Consider the following 24,332-nt stretch of genomic DNA (forward strand, 5'->3'; position numbering starts at 1 on the left):
TGAGATTGGGAAGCAGGTGTGCCCCCACAATCCCAAATTCTCACTCGGGGACTCTTCTGCCTCTGACCTTTTGGCTTTTGGCCTGTAAGGGACCTTGAGGCACTGGAACAGCTGGACCAGAGCAGGTGACAGGGACACCTGGGTAGCTCATACTGCAGACAGTGCCATGCATGAGGCACTTCCCACAGGGACACCAGGAGGACACCGCCTCCTCTGGCCATCACAGCCCTGGCATCCCCCCACCCCCTCTGCCAGGCAGTAGTGCATGGTCGTGGGCTAAGGGGCCAGAGTGCTTTTATGCTCAGACAGCCTTGACTACGTTACAAAACACTTTCTACAGAGCAGATAGTGGCCCTTTGCAGGCTTCAGGAGGAAATTCATAGCCGGGGATGGTGGTGCACCCCTGTAATTCTAGCTACTTGGGAGGCTGAGGCAGGAGAATCGCTTGAACCCAGGAGGTGGATGTTGCAGTGAGCCAAGATTGTGCCACTGCACTCCAGCCTGGGTGACAGAGCAAGACTCTGTCTCAAACAAACAAAGAAACAAACAAACAAACAAACAAAACACAAGATTCAGCCTACTAGACTGAAGGAAGTGTTGTTGTGGAGGATTCAGCCTAAGGGTGGACCTGGGCCTGCTGGGTGACCACAGGCAGGTGATTGGACCTCTCTGAGCCTCATTTTCTGCACCTCTAAAGTGAGGGTCATAGCAGCTGTCATCTCACATGGCCATGGGGACAAACTGGCAGATTACAAGGTGCCTGTAATCCCAGCACATGGGGATGCCAAGTCAGGAGGATTGCTTAAAGCCAGGAGTTTGAGACCAGCGTGAGCAACAAAGTGGGATCCTGTCTCTGAAATTAAGAAAAAAAAAAAAAATTAGGCTGGGGACGATGGTTCACGCCTGTATTCCCAGCACTTTGAGAGGCTTCAGTGGATGGATCACTTGAGGTCAGGAGTTCAAGACCACCTTCACCAACATGGTGAAACCCTGTCTCTATGAAAAAATACAAAAATTAGCCAGGTGTGGTGGTGGGCACCTGTAGTCCCAGCTACTTGGAAGGCTAAAGCAGGACAATCACTTGAACCTGGGAGTCAGAGGTTGCAGTGAGCCAGGATCACACCACTGCACTCCAGCCTGGGCAGACAGAGCGAGACTGTATCTCAAAAATAAATAAGTAAATAAATAAATAAATAAATTTAAATACTACTTGTTAAGCCTATGGCAGGACTGGGCCAGGGGATGCCCATCACAAACAGTCCCTGTCCCCCGGGGCTTAGCACGTTACGTCATTTGTAACCAGTTGCCTTGCAGGGCCCTCCCTGCCCAGGCACTCTCACCATGGAGAAGCGCCACTGTTATCTGTGTCTCCTGTCAAGAGCTGGGCCTTCTTGCTTTAGCATTTTATCTGAGGGTCCAAGGTCCTCATGCAGACATGGGCGGTCTTTCTCGGTTCACGCCTTACAAGAGAACGGGAATTACGGTAATAGACTTCCCCCAGCCTGAATTCTGCACTTGGCTTTTCTCTTCTTGTTAAAGCAAAGCCTGGAGCCTTCTGTCTCCGCCTGGTGCAGCCCACAGACTGTTCATGTATCCCAGTGCCCATGGGGACACCCAGGGTTTTTTTGTTTGTTTGTTTGTTTGTTTTTGGCCTTAACCGATGCTTGTAAGTTCATCTGTGACTGTACAGGCAAGGATTCCTGCAGGGCAAAGACCCCAGCAGAGGGATCTTGGGTTAAGGAACATACGTGTTTAAAATTGATTTTTAATTTTTCATTTTATTTTATTTATGTATTTGGTGGTTTTTTTTGTTTTTGTTTTGAGATAGAGTCTCGCTCTGTCACCCAGGCTGAAGCGCAGTGGCATGATCTCAGCTCACTGCAACCTCCCAGGTTCAAGCGATTCTCCTGTCTCAGCCTCCTGAGTAGCTGAGATTACAGGCATGCGCCACCACACCCAGCAAATTTTTGTATTTTTAGTAAAGACAGGGGTTTCACCATGTTGGCCAGGCTGGTGTCGAACTCCTGACCTTAGGTGATCTGCCCACCTCGGCCTCCCAAAGTGCTGGGATTACAGGCATGAGCCACCATGCCCGGACCTCATGTATTTGTTTTTTAAACGGGGTCTCGCCTTGTTGCCCAGGCTAGAGTGCAGTGGTGCAATCCCGGCTCACCGCAGCCTCACCACTTGGGCTCAGGTGATCCTCCCACCACAGCCTCCCGAGTAGCTGGGAATAATACAGGTATGCGCCACCATGCCTAGCTAATTTTTGTATTTTTGTAGAGACAAGGTCTCACTATGTTACCTAGGCTGATCTTAAACTCCTGACCTCAAGCAAACCGCCTGCCTGAACTTTCCAACTATGAGATCGCAGACGTGAACCACCACGCCTGGCCTTGTTTTTTTAATTTTTATTTATTTTATTTTATTCTTTTGAGACAAGGTCTCTTGTTCTGTTGCCCAGGCTGGAGTGCACTGGTGCAATCACGGCTCACTGAAGCCTGGACCTCCTGGGCTCAAGCAATTCTTCTGCCTCAGCCACCTGAGTAGCCTGATCCTCAGGCGTGCACCACAGCACCTGGCTAATTTTTAAAGTATTTCTAGAGACTGGATCTCACTATGTTGCCCAGGCTGTCTCAAACTCCTTAGCTCAAGCGATCCTCCTACCTCAGCTTCCCGAAGTGATGGGATTACAGGAGTGCACCACCATGCCCAGCCCAACTCCCCCTTTTTATAAGGACACCAGTTATATTGGCTATGAGCACACCCTGTGATATTCTCTTGACTGATTACATCTGCAGTGACCCTGTTTCCAAATAAGAGTACATTCCGAGGTACAGGGGGGCAGGATTCAACCCGAATTCCGCGGGACACCGACCAGCCGGTCACAATTGTCCAGAATGCTCTGATTGTGCAGCGTGGGTTGGGCCTGTAAATCACCTCCAGGGCCCCCAGGAGGCTGGTGCCCAGGTGTGCTTTGTCCCCTGTGGCTGAGAGCAGGTCCCCAGAGTCTCCATCCTTGCCTAACCCTCCCCCTCCCCCCGTCGCCCAGTCTGTTGTCTGTCATTAGTTTAGTGCTATGCCTTTGCTGACCTTGGTCCTGGTTTGGTCCACAATTCAAATTCTCCATTCCAGGCTGGGTGCAGTGGCTCATGCCTGTAATCCCAGCACTTTGGGAGGCCAAGGCGGGCGGATCACTTGAGGTCAGGAGATTGAGAGACCAGCCTGGCCAACATGCCGAAACCCCATTTCTCCTAAAAGCACAAAAATTAGCTGGGCATGGTGGCGGGCACCTGTATTCCCAGCTACTGGAGAGGCTGAGGCAGGAGAATCACTTGAACCCGGCAGGCGGAGGTTGCAGTAAGCTGAGATTGTCCCATTGCGCTCCAGCTTGGGCGACAGAGTGAGACTCCAGCTCAAAAAACAAAAAACAAAAAAAACAAATTCCCCATTCCAGGTGAAGCATTAACCTAGGCCTTTGTGTGTCTCCTGGAAGGAAATTAAATGTGCACACCCTTTACTTCATGTGAGGAAAGAGATTTTGGGGATCTGGGCAGCTTGTGCTTGCCTCTCCCAGTTGGGGTATGAAGGAGACCCCCCTTTCTTTGGCAGCCCAGCCTTGGTGGCCCTGACAGTGGTCACCATTTGAGCAGTTCCCCTTTAGGAGCAAGTCCCCAGGTACTTCAGTAGATCATGATTTTTGGGAGGGAAACTGATGAAGGGAGACAGCCCAGTACCCTAAGGAGAGCAATTAGGAATGCTTAGGAAAACTAAAACGTGAACAAGATCATCCTACTTTTTTACTATTCACGATGCCAATAGGCAATGCTGAGAGACTCTTTTTAAGGGCCAGGCCCGTTCTAAGGGGCGACACATGTTATTACCACTTTTTGTCCATTAGATGAGCAATTGTTTACCAACAAAAATTTTCTTTCTTTTTTTTCTTCTTTTTTTGAGACAGGGTCTTACTCTGTCTCGCCCAGGCTGGAGTGCAGTGGTGCGATCTCGGCTCACTGCAGCCTCCGCCACCCAGATTCAAGCGGTTCTCCTGCCTCAGCCTCCCGATTAACTGGGACTAGAAACGTGCACCACCACACCCAGCTCGTTTTTGTATTTTTAGTAGAGACGGGGTTTCGCCATGTTGTCCAGGCTAATCTCAAACTCCTGGGCTCAGGTGATCTGCCTACCTCAGCCTCCCAAAGTGCTGGGATTATAGGTGTGAGCCACCGTGTCCAGTATATATATATATTTTTTAATAAAATGTGGTCTCACTGTGTTGCCCAGGGTGGTCTCGAACTCCCAGACTAAAGCCATCCTCTCACCTCAGCATCCTAAAGTGCTAATATTGCAGGCATGAGCCACCGCACCCGGCCAATAAAACATTTTAACTTGTGTGAAACCAGGTGTCTTTGCAGAATTACCATTAGTGGCAGCATTTTTTCTTTTTTTGTGGGCACACAAAATAACAGTGCATTTTAGGATCAGTGACTTCTTGGAGGTAATGAGATCTAAAAACATCTTCAGTCTCCACGAAGGAGGTAGATGTTGTTACCCTCAACCCATTTTGTAGATGAGGAATCGGAGGCTCAGAGGGGCAAAGTCCTGTCCAAGGCCTCACATCCCATCGATGGGTCAGGACCAACCCCAGCAGGCTGGGAGGTGGCGGGAACCTATGGAAGCCACCTGAATTGTGGGGAAGTGGCTACCTTTCCTTCCCAGCATCCTGTAAATCAAGTTGAGCTTCAGGGCAGAGGTGCTGAGCTTTGACCCCTGAACTTCACTCCTGTCTTCTGCAAAGTGGGAGGAATAAGTGGGCCTTCTCAGATCGAATGGGTGAATAATCGGAACAGGCTTAGCTTGAGCCTGACTCGTAGCCAGCATTTGCCATTGGGAGCTCTTGAATTTGGTTTATTTGTCTTAATATAGACAGAAGACATTTTGCTGCTGAAAAATGGTAAAAGAACAGTAAACCCTGGCTTGACTTGGAACATCATTCCAGAGTAGTGTGGAAACCTCCGTTTTGATGCTTGCTTTTTCCTTTTCCTCATAGGATGGTCCAGCAGTTTGGGGTGGATTTTGAGAAGAGGATCGAGGGCTCAGGAGATCAGGTGGACACTCTGGAGCTCTCCGGGGGCGCCCGAATCAATCGCATCTTCCACGAGCGGTTCCCATTTGAGCTGGTGAAGGTAGTGCCCCCCGGGGCTGGGCCCTCCCGTCTCTGGTCAGGCACCCTCCTGCTGGCCTCAAGCCAGGCCTCCTCCCAGGCAATAAGGTCTCAAGCTCCTACCTCTAGGCCTGAACTTGTGGTGGGCAGGGTGTGGCCTGGATGAGGTGTCCCCATGGGCTTCCTTTTCTGACACTCAGCTTTGAGGTTTTGGGCAGAACAATATGAAAACCCCTGTGTTTTTCCTCTGACAAAAGCCAATATACATTCTTTGCAAAATACATAGAAAATACAGATAAATTTACATGAGAAGATGTCCCTAGCATGTCATTGAAGAAGGAAAAAATAGGCATTGGAGCCAGCATGTGCAACATAGCACTGAGCTGATATATACAACATCCTTATGTATGAAACTGAACATGGATGTCTGTCTACAAGTGTTTCTTTGTATTTGCAAGGATGTTTGCAAAAATGTCAGCCCTGGGTGCTAGGATTTGGGACTTCTTTTTCCGTGTGTGTGTGTGTGTGTGTGTGTGTGTGTGTGTGATTTGCTTGAAGTTTTATACTGTTTACAATGAGCACATAGCATTTTTTATTAAAAAAACAAACAGTTTTTTAAAATCAGAGGAGCAAGACCAAATGCAGTGGCTCACGCCTATAATCCGTGGGAGGCCAAGGGGGCCTGATCACTTGAGCCCAGGAGTTCAAGACCAGCCTGGGCAACATGGTGAAACCCCATCTCTACTAAAAATACAAAAATTATCCAGGTGTGGTGGCATGTGCCTGTAGTCCTAGCTACTTGGGAAGCTGAGGTAGGAGAATCACTTGAGCCCAGGAGGCAGAGGATGCAGCAATGAGCCAAGATGGCACCACCGCACTCCAGCCTCAGTGACAGAGCCAGACCCTATCTCAAAAAAAAACAAAAAAAACAAAAAGAAAGAAAAAAGAAAAAGCTGGGTGTGGTGGTGCATACTGATAGTCTGAAAAATCTAAGTTTACATGAATTTATATTCCCACCAATATGATGAGAGAGTTGGTGTCATGTCATGCTTTCTGAAACTGGGTTTTAATTAATTAATTTGTTTGTTTATTTTTATTTTTTTTGAGACAGGGTCTTGCTCTTTCACCCAGGCTGGAGTGCAGTGGTGCAATCACAGCTCACTGCAGCTTCGACCTTCCTGGGCTCGGATGATCCTCCCACCTCAGCCTCCCGAGTAGCTGGGACTATAGGCGTGCACCAGCCCACCTGGCCAATTTTTGTATTTTTAGTAGAGATGGGGTCTCACTATGTTGCCCAGGCTGGTCTCAAACTCCTGGGCTCAAGCCATCTGCCTGCCTTGGCCTCCCAAAGTGCTGAGATTACAGGTGTGAGCCACTGTATCTGGCCAGTTTTCAATTTTTTAAATAAAATTTTGACGAGTTAAATATTCTGCCTTGTGAATATAGCCACACGTGGGAGAGAACGTTCCCCAGATGCACGCCTGCCACGGGGGCGCCCCGGGTGCCTCCATGCATGTGCTTGGTTTGTCTCTTCTCAGATGGAGTTTGACGAGAAGGACTTACGACGGGAGATCAGCTATGCCATTAAGAACATCCATGGAGTCAGGCAAGTTCCACGAGGAGAGTCACCACTGTTCCTTCCTCTCCGTGGTGCGACCCCCCAGCTAATTGGGTCACCCACACCTCTGAGTCCCTAATCGTTAGGCCTTAAGAGGGCTCTTGGATGGTTTTCTGTAGCTGCGAGCCCCTCCCTGAGGGTCTCCAAGGGCACATGAGGGTGGATGTGTCTTAGTCCTGCGTCCATTGCAGGCTTCAGGGCTGTCTGCAGCTCCTGATCAAATAGGGCTTAGTTCCTGCCCAGTCGGTTGGTGTGAACCTCATGCTAAACTAAGAATGCTCACTGCAGATTTGCCTGGGGAGGGGCGGGGCGGCACTGAATCAGGGTTTTGGGAAGCCAGCATGAGTCCCCATCATGGCTTCCTCGTGAGCCTCTTGGGTCCCCTCCTTATTCTAACAAAGGTAGTTGCTCCAGGTGTCTGCCCTTCCATCGCCGTGGGGTCCTCGGGTCACCCTGAGGGTTTCCGGGCAGTGGACTCAGGCATCCGACCCCACACATGACACAACCTTCATTCCTTGTTGGGGACCCGGCCAGGGCCAATGAAATTGCTGACCATGCTTTGTTTCTCTCTGACTTATCTCCCCTGCCCCCGGGTCTGGACGGTTTCAGGACCGGGCTTTTCACCCCGGACTTGGCATTCGAGGCCATTGTGAAAAAGCAGGTCGTCAAGCTGAAAGAGCCCTGTCTGAAATGTGTCGACCTGGTTATCCAGGAGCTAATCAATACAGTTAGGCAGTGTACCAGTAAGGTATTGCTCCCTCGGCAGGGTGACTCCTGACCTTGTGGAAACGGGGGTACGGGGGTTTGGTATCAGGCTCCCAGCGCCTCATTGGCCCCCACTGGTGCCTTTTCTCCCCATATCGCTTTGTGTCCGTGAACTTGGCCTCTCCCCAGAGGCTGGGGCAGGAGCATGTAGGCCTGGGCCCAGGCACACAGGGGAGTGCCAGGCCTCCTGGACTGGCCAGACAGATGCACAGTTGTCCCTGGGACCCTGATACCAAGCCTAGCATGTGTCTGATGAAATTGGGGTTTCACTGGGCTGTTGCTTTGCTGCCTCCTGGGAAGCAGAGAGGGACCCCCCGCGTCAACTGCTGGAGGCTGAGCTCCTTGAAGCTCCCTGGCTGTCACCCCTTCTTGACCAATGCCCGGCATTCTCAGACTTCCCTGGAGCCACCGACTTCTCTGTCCCTCAGCTCCGGGAATGGCCTGAATGCCAGCGACATCATGAGAGCCAGCTGGGGTCCTAAGTGCCCCTGCCCACCCCCTGCACCCCACGCTGTCCCCCAGGGGCAGCCCATTTTTGGATCCACTTAGTCACAGTGCCTCTATGCGCTCTCGACGAGCCACTGCCTCCACTCAGCAGGACGCGCCGGGCTCCCCCAACCCGCGCCAACGCCGCGGGCCTGGTTCCCAGGGCAGCACGCTTTGGCCAAGCAGCTGAAATGCCTCCCAGTGGGCAGTCTGTGCTTGCGCGACCACAGTGTCCCCAGCGCTCCGGGTTGCCAGGGAATTTCTGCTTGAGCCCCTCTGTTCTTAGTCTGGAAAAGCCCACATTTGCTGCTTAAGCTTCTTCGATTAGAAAAGGGAGGGGGAAAACAGTCCAAACAGGTTGGAAAACGCTCGTCCTAGAGCCAGGTGTCATGGACATGAATGTTAGAGGACTCCGCACACCTTGGCTGTCTGTCTGTGCAATGACAACCCCCCGTGGCCCTTCTGTAACTACACCCCAGACCGAGCCCACACCCCCAAACCCCAGACCTCTTTGATCCGAAGCAGCTTCCGGGGCAAATGCGGGCGCAGGCTCCCCCATGCATGGACTAATCAGATGACTCTCGTTTCTTCTCTTCTCTCTGTCTCCTGTCCTGCGTGTGTGGCCTGCACTGTCCCTGGGTGTCTTTCTGCCTCATCCTGCCCTCCGCATGACCCAGGACGGGGCTCTTCACCCCCGACATGGCCTTTGAAGCCATTGTGAAAAAACAGATTGTAAAACTCAAAGAGCCGAGTTTGAAGTGTGTTGATCTCGTGGTCTCAGAGCTGGCCACGGTCATAAAAAAGTGTGCCGAGAAGGTAACAGGTTTTGTTCTCATCTCCGCATTTGTCCCCGTCCTCCCCCTCCATGTGTTAGTCTCAACCCGAGCATCTGGAAAATTCAGCCTCGGCAGGAACCCCCTTCCGCCTACCAGTTGTCACTTAGAGATGTCGCCACCTTGCATTGGCAGATGGAATGGGGGGAGTGGCATCACACGTGGGTTGTGGCTGCCCGTGGGGGCGGTCAGCCTTTGTTGTTGCCAAACGCATTGCATTTACTAAGCAGTGCCCTTTCCTGGAACCCCTAGAGAAAGGGGTTTCCCAGCCAGCACCAAAACAGCAAAACACAGGAAACACATCATCTGTATAGCCCTGCATGTTCTCACAGTCTAGGCCACCTGAGAGTAACCATTCCATTTTCCCCGACTCGTGGACTTGACCCACACTGCAGAAGATGGGACTCCCCTGTGCATGAGGTCTGGTTAAGTTGGTGCTGCAGATGAAGCCTGGGGAGGTGGGGGCATTTGGCGAGTGTGTGCCACAGATACAGTGATCAGGAGTGGTTCTCTGCAAGGAGTTCCTATCGAGGCTGATGGCCCAGATACCCGCCTTACCATTCTAGAACAGACGCTACTCACTCACGCTGGCGAGGCCCTTCAGGGTTCCTGCTCTCACCCAGTGCTGGGCAAGAGGGGGGTGCCCTGAAGCCCTGCATGGCAAACATGCCCCTGCTTTTCTGCTTTCATGTTGCCTCCTGCCTCCTGCCCCCCGGTCACTGGCTGGAAAAGCAGCTCTGCTCTCCTGCTGTCTCCGGTCCACGGTGCCCCCACTCTTCTGCTCTTAGCTCCCAGCTGGACTCACTGGGGGCCAGGAGCAAGGTGTGGGCTCGGTGGGCCCCCTCATATCTCATTCCCCACCCCCCTCCGCATTTTCTACCTGTGTGGTTCATGTTGCTTCCCGTGCCACGAGGACCCCGCCAATGCGACCACTCTGCTTGTTCCCCCAGCTCAGTTCCTACCCCCGGTTGCGAGAGGAGACAGAGCGAATCGTCACCACTTACATCCGGGAACGGGAGGGGAGAACGAAGGACCAGGTACTGGCCTTTTGTCTTCTTTATTGGGTATAATTTACATGCAGTAAATGTCAAGTGTACTGTTCTGTGCATGCTGACAGCTGCATATGGCAAAGTAACCCTTACCTCAATCAAGATACAGAGCGGTTCCGTCACCTCCTAAAATCCCTGTCCCTATCATGCTGACAGCTGCATATGGCAAAGTAACCCTTACCTCAATCAAGATACAGAGCGGTTCCGTCACCTCCTAAAACCCCTGTCCCTATCATGCTGACAGCTGCATATGGCAAAGTAACCCTTACCTCAATCAAGATACAGAGCGGTTCCGTCACCTCCTAAAATCCCTGTCCCTATGCCCCTTTGTAGTCAACCTCTCAAAAACCCACAGGCCAGGCTGGGTGTAGTAACTCACGCCTGTAATCCCAGCACTTAGGGAGGCTCAGGCAGGAGGATTGCTTGAGCCCAGGAGTTCGAGACCAACGTGGGCAACATAGCAAGACCTTGTCTCTACGAAAACATAAAAAAATTAGCCAGGCGTGGTGGCGCATGCCTGTGGTCCCAGTTACTTGGGAGGGTGAGGTGGGAGGATCCCTTGAGCCCACAAGATCAAGGCTTCAGTAAGTTATGGTCGTGCCATCGCCCTCCAGCCTGGGAGACAGAGCGAGACCCCGTCTCTTAAAAAAGAAGCAGCAAAGGAAATCCCCAGGCCCTGGCCACCACCAGCCCGCTCCCTATCCTACAGTCCTTCAAGTGGACTCCCACAACGTAAGGCCCATTGACTCTTGACTCCCTTCCTGCCACCCTTCTTCCCTCCCTCCCTCCCCTCGGCGTCTGCATTTGGGAGCCAAGCGTGTTGTTTGTTGTATCTGTAGTTTGCTGCCTTGATTACTAAGCAATCTTCCAGGGAATGGATGGAGCACAGCAAGGACCTCCACTTGCCTGCTGGAGGGTGTTTGGGGTGCTTTTTGTGTTGTGGTTTTTTGTTTTTTTTTTTTTTTTTGAGACAGAGTTTTGCTCTGTCGCCCAGGCTGGGGTGCAGTGGCACGATCTTGACTCACTGCCACCTCCACTTCCCAGGTTCAAGTGATTCTCATGCCTCAGCCTCCGAAGTAGCCAGGACTACAGGCACATGCCACTTTACCCACCTAATTTTTGTATTTTTAGTAGAGAGAGATTTTCACTATGTTGGCCAGGCTGGTCTTGAACTCCTGACCTCAGGTGATCTGCCCGCCTTGGCCTCCCAAAGTGCTGGGATTATAGGGGTGAGCTACCACGCCCAGCCTGCTTTTTCTTTTTTTAACATTTAACGCTTTCTTGCAAAGGCATGCAAGCACACACCCCAAGTTGCTGCCTACCCCTCAGCTGAGACTGTCACCCACGAAGCACTGGGCCGTCCTTATACTCTCCTGCAGCCGCAGCCTCAGCCTCCCAAGTAGCTGGGACTATAGGCGTGAGCTACCACGCCTGGCTAATTTTTGTATTTTTAGTAGAGATGAGGTTTCGCCATGTTGGCCAGGCTGGTCTTGAACTCCTTAGCTCAAATGATCCACCCACCTCAGCCTCCCAAAGTGCTGGGATGACAGGTGTGAGCCACTGCTCCCAGATCTGTTTTGAGTCACTTTCTCTCAGTTGTCCTCTGTGTTCTTTTTACAACTGTTTGTTGAAACCAGAGCTTAATTAAGCCCTTGCTTGCTATGTCACTTTGTTTAAAATGGTCCCTCTCCCCTTGCCATTGATGGGGATGAAATGGGCTCATTTGTCCTGCAGGGAGGCGCCCAGTTTTGATTTGGCCAATTGCTCCCTCAGGGCACCAGTCCACCTATGCCTCATAGCTGCTGTAGCTTGGAAATTGTATCAAAAGTCTGGAAGAGTCTGATTCTTTTTGTTGTTACTGTTGGTAAGAATGCTGCCGGCCCTTCCACAGCCCCTGGTGCCCACCTGCCATGCTGCCAGGCCGGATCTGAGAGCGCTGGGTTGAGGAGACTCAGGCCTTACTAAACCAGCCACGCTCGCTCCCACAGATGGAGCACCCTGGCATTTTCCAGCAGGCGACAGGTCCGAGTGCCTTGCCCTACTTTATTCTCAGGAACTTGGAGGTGCAGTGAGGGGAAGTGACTGGCCAAGGGCCAGGGGAGTCCAGTGACGCGCATCCCAGCGCCTCCTCCCCAGCAGCCTGGCCTGTTATAAATGGGAATCAAGCCAGTGAGCTGCCTGGATCCATGGTTCCCATAGACCAACTTCATCCTGGGCAAAAGACAAGAAGGATGAGGGAGGGAGAGTTTCAGCAAGTGCAGTGGACTCATAAGCCCTGCTCCTCACATGAGACCTTTCTAGCTTGATAGCTTGAGCGTGTGTGTGTGTGCGCGCGTGCACGTGCACGTGTGTGTTTTATTTTAGTGTTCATAATTGGACAAATTAGCTTCGCAGTTTTAATGCAACACTTTGAACACGCCAGGCGCTAAAGACTTTACAGGCTGGACACGGTGGCTCACGCCTGTAGTCCTAGCACTTTGGGAGGCCAAGGCAGGTGGATTGCCTGAGCTCAGGAGTTCGAGACCAGCTTGGGCAACACGGTGAAAACCCGTCTCTACTAAAATACAAAAAATTAGCCAGGTGGTGTGGCGTGCGCCTGTGGTCTCAGCTACTCGGAAGACTGAGGCAGGAGAATTGCTTGAACCCAGGAGGCAGAGGTTGCAGTGAGCCGAGATTACGCCATTGCACGCCAGCCTGGGTAACACAGTGAGACTCTGTCTCCCAAAAAAAAGAAAAAGAAAAAAATACAAGGCAGTGGCTTGCAGTGGTTCACACCTGTAATCCCAGCACTTTGGGAGGCCAAGGTAGGAGGATCACTTGAGCCTAGGAGTTCAGGACCAGTCTGGGCAACATAGTGAGACCCCACCTCTACAAAAAAAGAAAAATCAGCCAGGTGTGGTGGCACATGCCTGCGACCCCAGCATCTTGGGACGCTGAGGCAGGGGGTTGCTTGAGCCCAGGAGTTTGAGGCTATGATTGTTCTACTGCACTCCAGCCTGGGAGACAGTAAGTTCTTTTCTCAAAAAAAAAAAAAAAAAAAAGCCAGGCGCAGTGGCTCATGCTTGTAATCCCAGCACTTTGAGAGGCCGAGGCGGGCGGATCATGAGGTCAGGATTTCGAGACCAGCCTGACCAACTCAGTGAAACCCTGTATCTACTAAAAATACAAAAATTAGCTGGGCGTGGTGGCAGGCACCTGTAATCCCAGCTATTTGGGAGGCTGAGGCAGGAGAATCGCTTGAACCCAGGAGGCAGAGGTTGCAGTGAGCCAAGATTGTCCCACTGCACTCCAGCCTGGGCGACAGAGCAAGACTCCGTCTCGAAGAAAAAAAAAAAAAAAACAAAAAAAACAACTGCACATTATTAAACCCTTGGCAGTTGGGCCTCCTGTCACCCCATTCCACAGCTCAGTAACGTGAGGCCCAGGGTCACACGGCCAATTAGTGGCTCAATCAAGACTCCAGACCTTGGGGACAGCGGCCCTGCCTGTGACTGGCACATTGGGCTGCGTGGCTGTGCTCTGTTGTCCCAGGCTCTGTTGCCTATGAGGGTGTGGGGAGTGCGACGCCAGCCCCTGTTCTCCTGTCTGGGAAGCCTCCTGGTTCCCACGCCTTCCCTGCTGGCAAGGCCAGGAAATGCTCTTGCCGCTGCCCCCCCTTGCCAGGCTTGGCCTTGTACTCACAGTGACCCCCGCTCTCCCCCAGATTCTTCTGCTGATCGACATTGAGCAGTCCTACATCAACACGAACCATGAGGACTTCATCGGGTTTGCCAAGTAGGTACTTTTAGAGACTGGCTGGTCGGGCGGCACCAATCCTCACTCTCAGATCCAAGGAGGTGACTGAGTTGGGATTCTCTGAGAGGGCAGGTGTCAGACAGTCTCTGTCGGGGGTCCTGGGGTGAAGGCAGAGCCAACTGAGAATATCTGGAAGCTCTCCTGGGCTGATAGTGGTCCACTGTCCCCAACCAACACGCCTTCTGTGAGGCATCCCCATGGTTAGTTTAGGGAGAGGGCAGTGCTATGTTCAGATCTGCAGGGAGAGGGGGAAGCCAGCCAGCTGCTGCACCCCCTCTCCTTCAGGACTTCTCAGAGCCTTTAGCGACCAGTGTGCAGCTTTTCCCAGACTCTGCCACTTCATGGACAGCATCTCATGGGCTCAGGGCTCCGGAAGCTGCTCTTTGGGAAATGCTGCCTGGGGTCTCCCTAGCTTCAAGGCATACACTGTAGATTTAAACCAGAACCTTCCGTGGCACCCAGATGAGGGCCCACATCGGGGAGCCCTGATTTCAGCAGGATGTCGATTCAGTGTGCGTGGTCTCAGGCATCACCCGCTGATTCCTTCAGCCCCTTGGCATGCTTAGGCCTCACTCAGATTGTTGGAGAGGCTCACGCAGGCCTTCCTGCCTGAGGCAGGCCGGGTGGTGCCGCTGGTATGCCCTCTCGCTGGGCCCTGTGATAGAGCAGTGGGCAAACCCACACCCAGCTCCCCACCCTCAGAGGAAGACCACATGCAGGGAACCGATGGGGACCCAGGGCGTTAAGGTGTAGTGTGCTTAGTGCTGGGCGGGGCCGTGCAGGGCTTGTGGGTGTCCAGAGGGCGGCCACTGGGCCTTGCCTTGAGGGGTCAGGCAGGCTTCCTAGGGGAGGGCCTCTAGAGCCAAATCTCAGGCTATGGAGTCACCAGATACAACATTTATCGGTGCACCTGACAAAGCTGATTGAGGATCTGTTCCGTGCTGGGCACCAGGTAGGTGAGGAGAAGGGAGGAAGGAAAACGAAGGAATGAGGGCCTCATCAGAACCCCTCCTAGAGATGAGCCGAAGTCCCTGACTGGGCCTCCCCTGCCTGTGGGTGGCAGCCCCCGGCCCTGTGCTCCCGGCCGCCGGGTGTGTGTGGGCTCACAGCGCTGGTCCCCATCTTTGGTTTGCTGCTGTTTTCCTCACCTTGATGTCTCTGCTTCTCACACTTCATCCACAGTTCCTTCTCACAATCTCTCCTGTTTTTCCTTTGACCACTCTTTCCTCTGGATTCCTGGGCCTTCCCACTTACCCCAGCTGTTACTATACTGAGCAGCTGGTGACCTGGTGGGTATTGCCTGCTGTGTGCCTTTGCCCTGGTGTGTGAACGGGGTACGCCCTGGCTGGGTGGCCCCAGCCCTGGGTGGGACATCCCTGGGGCCCGCTGAAGAGCTACGGGGTGCTCTCTCAGAGCCAGGGCCAGTGCTGGGCCTCTGGGCCAGGACCTTGACCGCACCAGCTGTAGCCCCTGCTGTTTCAGAGCCTGCAGGCTGGGGAGGTGGAGTCCTTAAACAAATTGTCACAAGGATGATGAGAGTAGGAAGAGAGGGTAGGGGATAGACTATGGGAAAGGGGAGCTGGGAATGTGGCCTGGAGAGATCTTCCTGAAGAAGTCAGGTGATGCCAGGGGGACCCAGAGAATTGGACCCAGGGAAGGAAGGCTACCAGACCAGGCAGGTAGAGGTAAGAGAGCCAGCGGCCAGGCCCCATCGCCAGGAGGGCCCTGCAGGTCCAGGGGAGGATTTTGGATTTTCCCCCAAGACACCAGGATGCTTCTGATTAGATCCAGGCCCAGGAGAGGGGCCACCTTGTGGGCTGCTATTTGAGGGAGCCCTGGCAAGGATGGGAGCCAGGAGGCCCTTAGGAAATAGCACCTCTGGAACCTCACTGTCACCCAGCCATCACTGTGGAGGTTGGCTCAGCTCAGTGCCACCTCCTTCAGATGCTGTTGATGAAAATCCTTCTTGTGCTTGAATGTTCTGGGCTTCCCATTGCCCTCCAAATGTATATTATAAACAGGGCCCAAGCCTGGCGCAGTGGCTCATGCCTGTAATCCCAATACTTTGCAGGAGGCCAAGGTGGGTCGATTGCTGGAGCCCAGGAGTTTGAGACCAGCCTGGGAAACATGGTGAAACCCTGTCTCTACAAAAAATACAAAAATTAACTGGGCATGGTGGTGGTGCGTAATCTCAGCTACTTAGGAGGCTGAGGTGGGAGAATGACCTGAGCCCAGGAAGTCAAGGCTGTGCTGAGCCATGATCACACCAGGGCTCTCCAGCCTGGGTGACAGAGTGAGACTCTGTCTCAAAAATAAATAAGTAAATAAATAGCCCAGATAAGAAGCCCTATAATAAACTTACTGAATGTTGGGAATATCACTGGATAAAATTCTGCCTTTGTTCTTAGTTTTCCAGCCTTTCCTGATCTAGAAACAGAAGCCTACTTTCTCCCTTATCCTACAGCCAACTTGGACTTTAAAACAAAACCCCCGAGGTAGTCAGCAAAGGAAGGTGACCAAGCTGACTTGCTTTTCCATATTGTTCTGAAAGTTTCAGCCAAAGCAATAAGAAAAGACAAGAAAATATGATGGATAAGTAACAGGAGATATATGTTGTTTGCAAGTGGTGATATGATTGTCAGAGTAGAAAATATATTAGAACCGTAAGGTGGTGGAGTAGGTGTCCACATATAAAATATAGTGGGATTTGTCTATGCCGGCATGAACTAGCCAGGAAGTAGGATGGATAAAGAAGAAAAGAGATCTGGGATTGTGGATGAATAAGGAACCTTATAGAAACACACCCTGTCGACCTTGGATGTCCTCTAAATTTGGGTCAGGAGTCATGCAAGATATGTGTCATTTCATGACCAGCAGCTGTCCCACAGTCTGATGTCTAAGACTGGATGGCTCTGTGGTTAGAGCCACTTACAGGCTGGTGTTGGGATCAAATGATGAGAAGAGTAGGAAGAAGGGCCAGGTGCAGTGGCTCATGCCTGTAATGCCAGCACTTTGGGAGGTGGAGCCAGGCAGATCCCTTGAGTCTAGGAATTTAAGACCAGCCTGGGCAACACAGTGAAACCTCGTCTCTACAAAAAATCAAAAATTAGCTGAGCATGGTGGTATGCACCTGTGGTTCCAGCTACTCGGGAGACTGAGGCAGGGGAACTACTTGAGCCCGGGAGGGTCAAGGCTGCAGTGAGCTGTGATTGCGCCACTGCACTCATCTTAGGCAACACCTTCTCACACTTCCCCTTAGAAACTCCGGGATTCTAGTGACATCTGGAAGTAACCTGCGCTTTAGTAAGTCGGCTGAGATGAGGGCCTAGAAGCCTCAATTGAACCAGATACATTTACTTGTTCCGTGTGCCCAGGCCGTTTCCCTTGCGCAGCTCTGTGTGTGCAGGGGGCTTCTCTCTGCCTCTACCTGTGGCTGCTCACTTGGTCCCCAGGGAGAGAACGGCCACATTCGCCTCTTCCCCTTCTTCCCCCCCGGCATCTTGTCCACGTGAACCCTGTCTGTTCTTTGGTTTCAGTGCCCAGCAGAGGAGCACGCAGCTGAACAAGAAGAGAGCCATCCCCAATCAGGTAGCACACCCCTCTGCAGTCTCCCGCTCTACCCTGGGGGCGGGAGGACGCTAAGTGACAGCTAAGCCCCCGTGATGGAGCTCGGCCTGTGTAAAGCCCCACCCCACAGCCTCAGTACCAGGCCATCTGCTCTCTCTAGAGGCCACTTAGGAATTGATAATTCTGGGAGATGGCCTGAGAGCCAACACTCTGGCAGGGCCTAGTGGGCACATTTTACCCACCCAGAAGGCCCTATGTGCCATCCAAGGCCAGGGTTAGAACTTGACTCTTGGCTGGGCACAGTAGCTCACACCTGTAATCCCAGCATTTTGGGAGGCCGAGGTGGGAGGATCACTTGAGGCTAAGAGTTTGAGACCAGCCTGGGCAACATAGAAAGACTCTGTCTCTACAAATAATAATATTTAAAAATTACCTGGGAGTGGTGGGCTCATGCCTATCACCCCAGCTACTTAGGAGGCCAAGGTGGGAGGGTCACTTGAGCCCAGCAGTTCATGACCATCCGGGGCAATACAATGAGACCTCATCTTAAAAATTAATAATAGGCTGGGCACGATAGCTCACACCTGTAATTCTAGCATGTTAGGAGGCTGAGGCGGGCGGATTGCCTGAGCTCAGGAGTTTGAGACCAGCCTGGCTAACATGGCAAAAACCCCATCTCTACTAAAAATACAAAAAATTAACCAGGCGTGGTGGCACGCGCCTGTAATCCCAGCTACTCAGGAGGCTGAGGCAGGAGGATTGCTTGAACCTTGGAGGCGGAGGTTGCAGTGAGCCAAGATTGCGCCACCGCACTCCAGTGTGGGTGACAGGGCCAGACTCTGTCTCCAAAAATAATAATAATAAAGATATAAATAAGAATTTTTCCCTTGAGCGGGGGTCTGTGACCTCTTTGAGCTTTCCAACACAGCCCCAGGGATTGGGAGCCCCTAGGTGAGAGCCGCTGGAAACTACATTGTCACTAGCAGCTCAGGGGAGCTTGGGATAGTTGAAGCCCCACACCTGGAGAAGCCCTGAGCCACAAAGGGTTGTACCTTGACATCTTAACCCAGCTAGAGGCCTTGTGAAATATGAACGGCTGTATCAATGCCTGCCTTCAGTACCTTATTATTATTATTATTATTTTGACACAGAGTCTCGCATTGTCACCTGGGCTGCAGTGCAGTGGCGCAATCTTGGCTCACTGCAACCTCTGCCTCCCAGGTTCAAGCGATTCTCCTGGTTCAGCCTCCTCAGTAGCTGGGATTACAGGTGCTCACCACAACACCAGGCTAATTTTTTTTTATTTTTTTCTTGAGATGGAGCCTTGCTCTGTGTCCCAGCTGGAGTGCAGTGGCACGATTTCAGCTCACTGCAACCTCCACCTCCCGGGTTCAAGCAATTCTCTGCCTCAGCCTCCTGAGTAGCTGGGATTACAGGCGCCCGCCAGCACGCCCAGCTAATTTTTTTGTATTTTTAGTAGAGAGGGGGTTTCACCATCTTGGCCAGGCTGGTCTCAAACTCCTGACCTGGTGATCCACCCGCCTCGGCCTCCCAAAGTGCTGGAATTACAAGCGTGAGCCATCACGTCCAGCCTTTTTTTTTTTTTTTTTTTTTTTTTTTGAGACAGAGTCTCACTCTGCCACCAAGGCTGGAGTGCAGTGGCGCGGTCTCAGCTCACCACAACCTCCGCCTCCTAGCTTCGTGTGATTCTCCTGCCTCAGCCTTCTGAGTAGCGACGATTACAGGAGCCTGCCACCACCCCTGACTAATTTCTGTATTTTTAGTAGAGACAGGGTTTCACCATGTTGGCCAGGCTGGTCTCGAACTCCTGACCCCAGGTGATCCACCCGCCTCGCCCGGACAAAGTGCTGGGATTATCATGCCAGCCTTTATCATTAATTTTTAAGAAAACCTGGACGGGCACGGTGGCTCACACCTGTAGTCCTAGCACTTTGGGAGGCCGAGGCGGGCGGATCACCTGAGGTCAAGAGTTAGAGAACAGCCTGGCCAACATGGTGAAACCCCGTCTCTACTAAAATACAAAAAATTAGCCTGGCATGATGGTGGGTGCCTATAATTCCACCTACTCGGGAGGTTGAGACAGGAGAATCACTTGAACCCAGGAGATGGTGGTTGTGGTGAGCCAGGATCACACCACTGCACTCTGGCCTGGGCGGCTGAGCGAGACTCCATATCAGGAAAAAAAAAAAGAAAGAAAGAAAAGGAAACCATAATCTTCGCAAAATTTCTGCCTATGTCCCTCCCTTCTCCCCATTGGGCAGGGGTGGGGGCGGGGACTCCACCATGTACCTTGCACGATCATAGAGCCTACTGGAAGGAAGAACGTAACCATTGCATGATTTATTTTTGCGCTTGCCGTAGGTAATACATATGTTGTTGCTTTTTTGTTTCTTGAGATAATAATGAATTAAATATTAACACCATGAATATGATTAATAGCATGTAATTTTTTTTCTTTTGCTGTTTTTTCCCCTGCTCTTCTCTTCTCCTGTTTTTGTGCTTTTCCTGCTTTTTCTTTGTCCCCTTCACGTCCCTTCCATCTCTTTTCCTTTGCCTGCTCTTCCCTGATTTACCCACAACCCTAACTTTGCATATTCAAAGGGGGAGATCCTGGTAAGTACATGCTTAGTGTGGTAGCAAACATTAGAGAATCTAGTGGTGATGGAGACCCCGCCCACCCCTAATATTCCCTGTTCCCCATCCCCTCCAAATAACAAAAATACTAAAAATCGAGCTAACCTGGAAACCCCATGCCGCAGCCGGCGCTGGACTGCACGTTGCCCTGGGTATAAGTCGACTCACACAGGCACTAACTGGACCGCCACCCTTGAAGGCGCACTTCTGCAGCCAGTTCCTGGCAGGTTTTCCTGGTTTCCTGTAGGTCAGGGATGGCAAATACTTACACACCGCCCCTGCCTCCCCTCACATCCCTGGCTGTGGAAGATCTCGCTTAAGCCAGACCAGAATTCATTCTTGGCACTGCCCCTCCTCCTTCTATCTCCTATGCAGATGTCACTCATGGATCAGAGCATATTTTTCCACATGGCAGAAATCTTGCCCTCTTGTGCCCATGGCAGACATGGCTAGTTGATCTAGCACTCTTTGCCTTGTGCCGCTCCTCTAGCACACGCCCATGGCAGACATTGCTAAGCAATCCTAGCATTCTTTCCAAATAAGCTTGCCAGCACTCCTGTTCTATAGCAGATGTGGCTAAGTGATTAAGGTATTGTTTTTCTCCCTATATGATACCCTCTTCTCTATGCATGGCAGGCATGACTAGTCAATCAGGAGCCTCTTTCCTAGATGCTGCCTCTTGTCCTCCAGATAAATTGATGAGGCTCTTCTGTTCCACTTACCCTTTCTCCTATCCTTGGCCTGTGACAGGCAACACTAATTGATCCTAGCACCGTTTCCTGCCACGCCCAGAATTCTCACCACAGTGCTTCAGGTATCTTGTACCAGTCGATTGACATGGCTCCCGAGATGAATCATATTTGCTGTCCATCCCTGCTGTGGGTAACACCTCCTTCCTTTGTGCAGAACCCTCAGCTGGGGCCCAGTGTGGGGCGTGAGATGGGCGTGAGGCCCAGTCCAGCCCAGCCCAGCGGGAAGCAGCCTGCTACTCATAGCTGAGAACTGAACCCAGCTCAAGGAGCTCACCTCTAGGCAGCCGGCCTCAGCCCGGCTCTTACACTTGGACAGCACAGCCTGGGCCTCCAGTCCTAGCAGGGGCTCCCTTTTGCTGGACATTCTCCCACTGCCAGCCACCAAGGCGCTGGTCATCCCTGCCACTGCCCTCTGGCGGGGCTCTTCTGGCAATCCCAGGGTCTTTCTTGTAGCTGAGCCGATCCTATGCCAGGGCCTCGCTGCTCCCAGGGCCTGGGTGTGCAGATAGGGCCATGGGTGGGGCAGTGACGGGAGGAATTAGTTGGCCTCGGGCTTGTGGTTTTCAGGTTCCTCATGTGTTCCCCCCAGTCCCTTTGAATTTGCCAGGCCAAGACCAGGAACCTGCTTCTCCCTTGTACCCCAAGAGGTTTAGGGGTTCCTCTTTTCCTACCAGAGGCCACATAGCCCAGCCCCGTCATGAGCGTGGCCGTGGCCTCTGGGTCTCCCATCTGTGGTTCCCATCTCTACCCGGGAGACTCAGGCCAGGACCCTCACCCAGGAAAGAGACTGGAGCAGCCTGCCAGAGGATCCCTGCTTTGCCGCCCCCTGCCTGCCCTGCCACCCATACCGCCCCATGTGCCTGCCTGCCTGTCACTGTGCACCCTAGCCCGCAACGGCCTGCCGCCTCTTCTGTCTCTCCCACCCCTACTTCCTTCTAAGCCCAGTCCCATTGGGATGTGTCCCTTGGATGCAAACCTGACTTTCTGCTGAGGCCTGGCTGCTCCCTTTCTCTGGCTCACAAGTGGTGGATGGCTAACGGGCCTTTGTTTGCCACCCACAGCTTGCAGCTCCCTAGGGTGGGATTTTGTCTCTGAACCCGTGTGGAGAAGGGCACCTCAGGGCTTCTGCCAGACGTCCTGCCCCAAGGCTTGGTGTGCCATCCCCAGCATGGCCCCGATCAGTGCCCTGGCCCTGTGGCCATGCACCCCAAAGTGTAGCGTGGGCCCTGTGCTCCAGCTCTGACCAACACTAACCCCGGCTGGAGGCAGGAGAGCCAGGCCACCGAGGGGTGTGCGGGCACATCCCTCTCCTTAGAAACCGGGCCAGGCCTAGGAGTATGGAGGCCTCACATTTCTCTGGGGGAGCACCGACAGCCTGTCTCCCTGTTTTCCCTCACCTGGTTGTCATTCAGTCATGGAACCAGGGTCTACTAAGCACTCGTTCTGTGCCCAGCTCTGGGCTGAGACAAGGCAGTGCCCCCACCCCGCTCCCCCCGGGTGAATGGAGGCATTCCCAGACTGCCAGACCTTTGGTGCTAACACCAGGACGTCCTGGACAGACCAGGAAGAGCTCGTCACTGCGTTCCCAGAGGGGATGCTGTGACCTCACAGGGGCTGCTGGCCTCAGCCCCCTCACCCACCACCAGGCAGCCCGTGAATGGCCAGATGCCAGGGGTCACTGCCTGCTCCAAACAACTGTGAGAGTCCTGTCTGCTCATCCCAGGGAGGGATAAGTCTGTACCCTTGGCCTTAACAAGGGGCGCCCGGTGGCATCTCATGCTGTCCCCAGCCTGGGCAGTGACTTCTGCATGGTCCAGGGGTCCCTGGGTACTCTTTAGCCACCTCCGTCTTCATGGCCACCTGGGGCTTAGCACTCACATCCAGCCACCAAGGAGCCGCTGGAGCTGTGGGCTGGTGGCCCTGGTTCAGAATGTCAGGCCCGGGGTGGGTCGGGGTAGTCCGGATGAAGCCCCTCCAGAGGACCGCCCCCGACTAGGACAGCATCTGGGCCCCAGAGGGATTCCTGGAGGCCCCATCTCTGGCGCTCCTGCCGTGCCGTGCCCTGCCATGCCCTGCACTGGGGGATGCAGGCCAGCCCTTCGCAGCTGTCCATGGCCATGCTCAGCCCACCCTTTGTAGCTTGGCCAAGTCTGTCAGTGCCTGGGTCCCAGGCCGCCCTGTGCGTGCCTCCGTGTGCTTCCTGCAGCTCCCAGGGCCCTCGTCCTGAGTGGGGTGGGGGGCTCTGCCCACACATGCCTCCAGCGGCCAGGGAGCATGGGAGCACAGCCCCCAGGCTGCCTGCCGTTAGTTGTCAGGTGAGTCCCTGCGCAGGCCTGGGTTCTGACCCCCACGCAGATGACAGCTACAGCCACACAATCCCCATCCATGGGGTCTCCCAGCCTGAAACCCTGATGTGTCAGTCAAAAGGATGACCACCAGGCTTGCAGCCAGCTTGGGACATGAGCCGCGCTCCTTCAATGTCCTTGGGGAGGGCCCCTGGGCTCACACCTTTGACCCTAGCCCTCTGTGTGGATGCTACCCTTGGAACCTTATCTCACGCAAACAAGTGCAGTTCCTCAGATGTCACATTTCATGTGCCACAGCCCCACACACAAGCCCCAGGGACTCCTCCCATGGGCCCCTTTCCATCAGGCCTCTGTGAGTCTATACCCCATCAGCCCCTGGCCCAGTGAGTCTGTCTGTCCGCCCACCTGCCCAGGTGGCGCCTCATGTTGGTTTCCTGCTGGAAATGCTTGGGACAGGGTGGAACTGGGTTTCCTGGGCTTTGGGGCTGGAGGTGTCTCTATTGCGGTCCCTGGCTTCCCACTGAGCTGTGGGCAAGGCTGCTGCGCTGGGGGATGGCTGGGGCACGGAGCGAGGTTCCCTGCTAAGCTGCGCGCTTTCCCCCAGGTGATCCGCAGGGGCTGGCTGACCATCAACAACATCAGCCTGATGAAAGGCGGCTCCAAGGAGTACTGGTTTGTGCTGACTGCCGAGTCACTGTCCTGGTACAAGGATGAGGAGGTGAGTGGCAGGCGGGAGCAGGGCTGCTGGGGTAGGTGGGGCAGCCAGGGAAGAGCGGGTGGGCGCTCCCTCTGGGCAGAACTCAGTCACTGCGCCACTCTGCCCTGAGTCACCATTAGGACTGTAACTCGCCGGGCACGGTGGCTCCCGCCTGTAATCCCAGCACTTTGGGAGGGCGAGGCAGGTAGATCACGAGGTCGGGAGTTTGAGACCAGCCTGGCCAACATGATGAAACCCCGTCTCTACTAAAATTGCAAAAATTAGCCAGGAGTGGTGGCACGCGCCTGTAATCCCAGCTACTCAGGAGGCTGAGGCAGGAGAATCGTTTGAACCCGGGAGGCGGAGGTTGCAGTGAGCCGAGATTGCGCCACTGCACTCCAGCCTGGGCGAGAGAGCGAGACTCCATCTCAAAATAAACAAACAAACAAACAAAAAACAACCGTAACCCAGGGCTGGAGAGCAGCCACCATGTGCCAAAAGGCTTACATTGTACCTGGCCCCCATGGGACCAGCTCCTAGAGTGCAAAAGGGAGATGGAGGGTGATGGAGTCACTAGCAGGCTAGAAACAGGCCCTGACCTCCAGTGCCACTGTGACTGCCCCGTGCTCAAGAGAAGGGGCCATG

The 24,332-nt window shown here is 53.3% G+C and overlaps 1 protein-coding gene across 5 annotated transcripts in view, besides 1 other annotated feature; it reads left to right on the forward strand.

Moving 5' to 3' along the window:
- The window catches only part of DNM2 (dynamin 2), a 113,825-nt gene that overhangs the window by 70,591 nt on the left and 18,902 nt on the right, over positions 1-24,332 (forward strand). For 2 of the 5 annotated variants that reach the window (NM_001005360.3, NM_001190716.2), the window contains exons 8-15: positions 5,051-5,186; positions 6,703-6,770; positions 7,392-7,530; positions 9,817-9,903; positions 13,619-13,689; positions 17,247-17,298; positions 19,900-19,911; positions 23,595-23,708. In NM_001005360.3, coding sequence (NP_001005360.1) covers positions 5,051-5,186; positions 6,703-6,770; positions 7,392-7,530; positions 9,817-9,903; positions 13,619-13,689; positions 17,247-17,298; positions 19,900-19,911; positions 23,595-23,708 — 679 coding nt within the window. Of the gene's footprint in view, positions 1-5,050; positions 5,187-6,702; positions 6,771-7,391; positions 7,531-8,710; positions 8,850-9,816; positions 9,904-13,618; positions 13,690-17,246; positions 17,299-19,899; positions 19,912-23,594; positions 23,709-24,332 lie in introns of all 5 variants that reach the window. The other 3 variants (NM_001005361.3, NM_004945.4, NM_001005362.3) reach the window with 3 other exon arrangements.
- Positions 23,014-23,946: an enhancer, noted in NCBI's record as "H3K4me1 hESC enhancer chr19:10922359-10923291 (GRCh37/hg19 assembly coordinates)". NCBI's record gives its function as "activates a minimal SCP1, AML or CMV promoter by ChIP-STARR-seq in primed H9 embryonic stem cells {active_cell/tissue: H9 hESC(primed)}" and the evidence as "EXISTENCE:reporter gene assay evidence [ECO:0000049][PMID:30033119]".

Source organism: Homo sapiens, chromosome 19 (genome assembly GCF_000001405.40).
Source record: "Homo sapiens chromosome 19, GRCh38.p14 Primary Assembly".
NCBI lineage: Eukaryota > Metazoa > Chordata > Mammalia > Primates > Hominidae > Homo > Homo sapiens.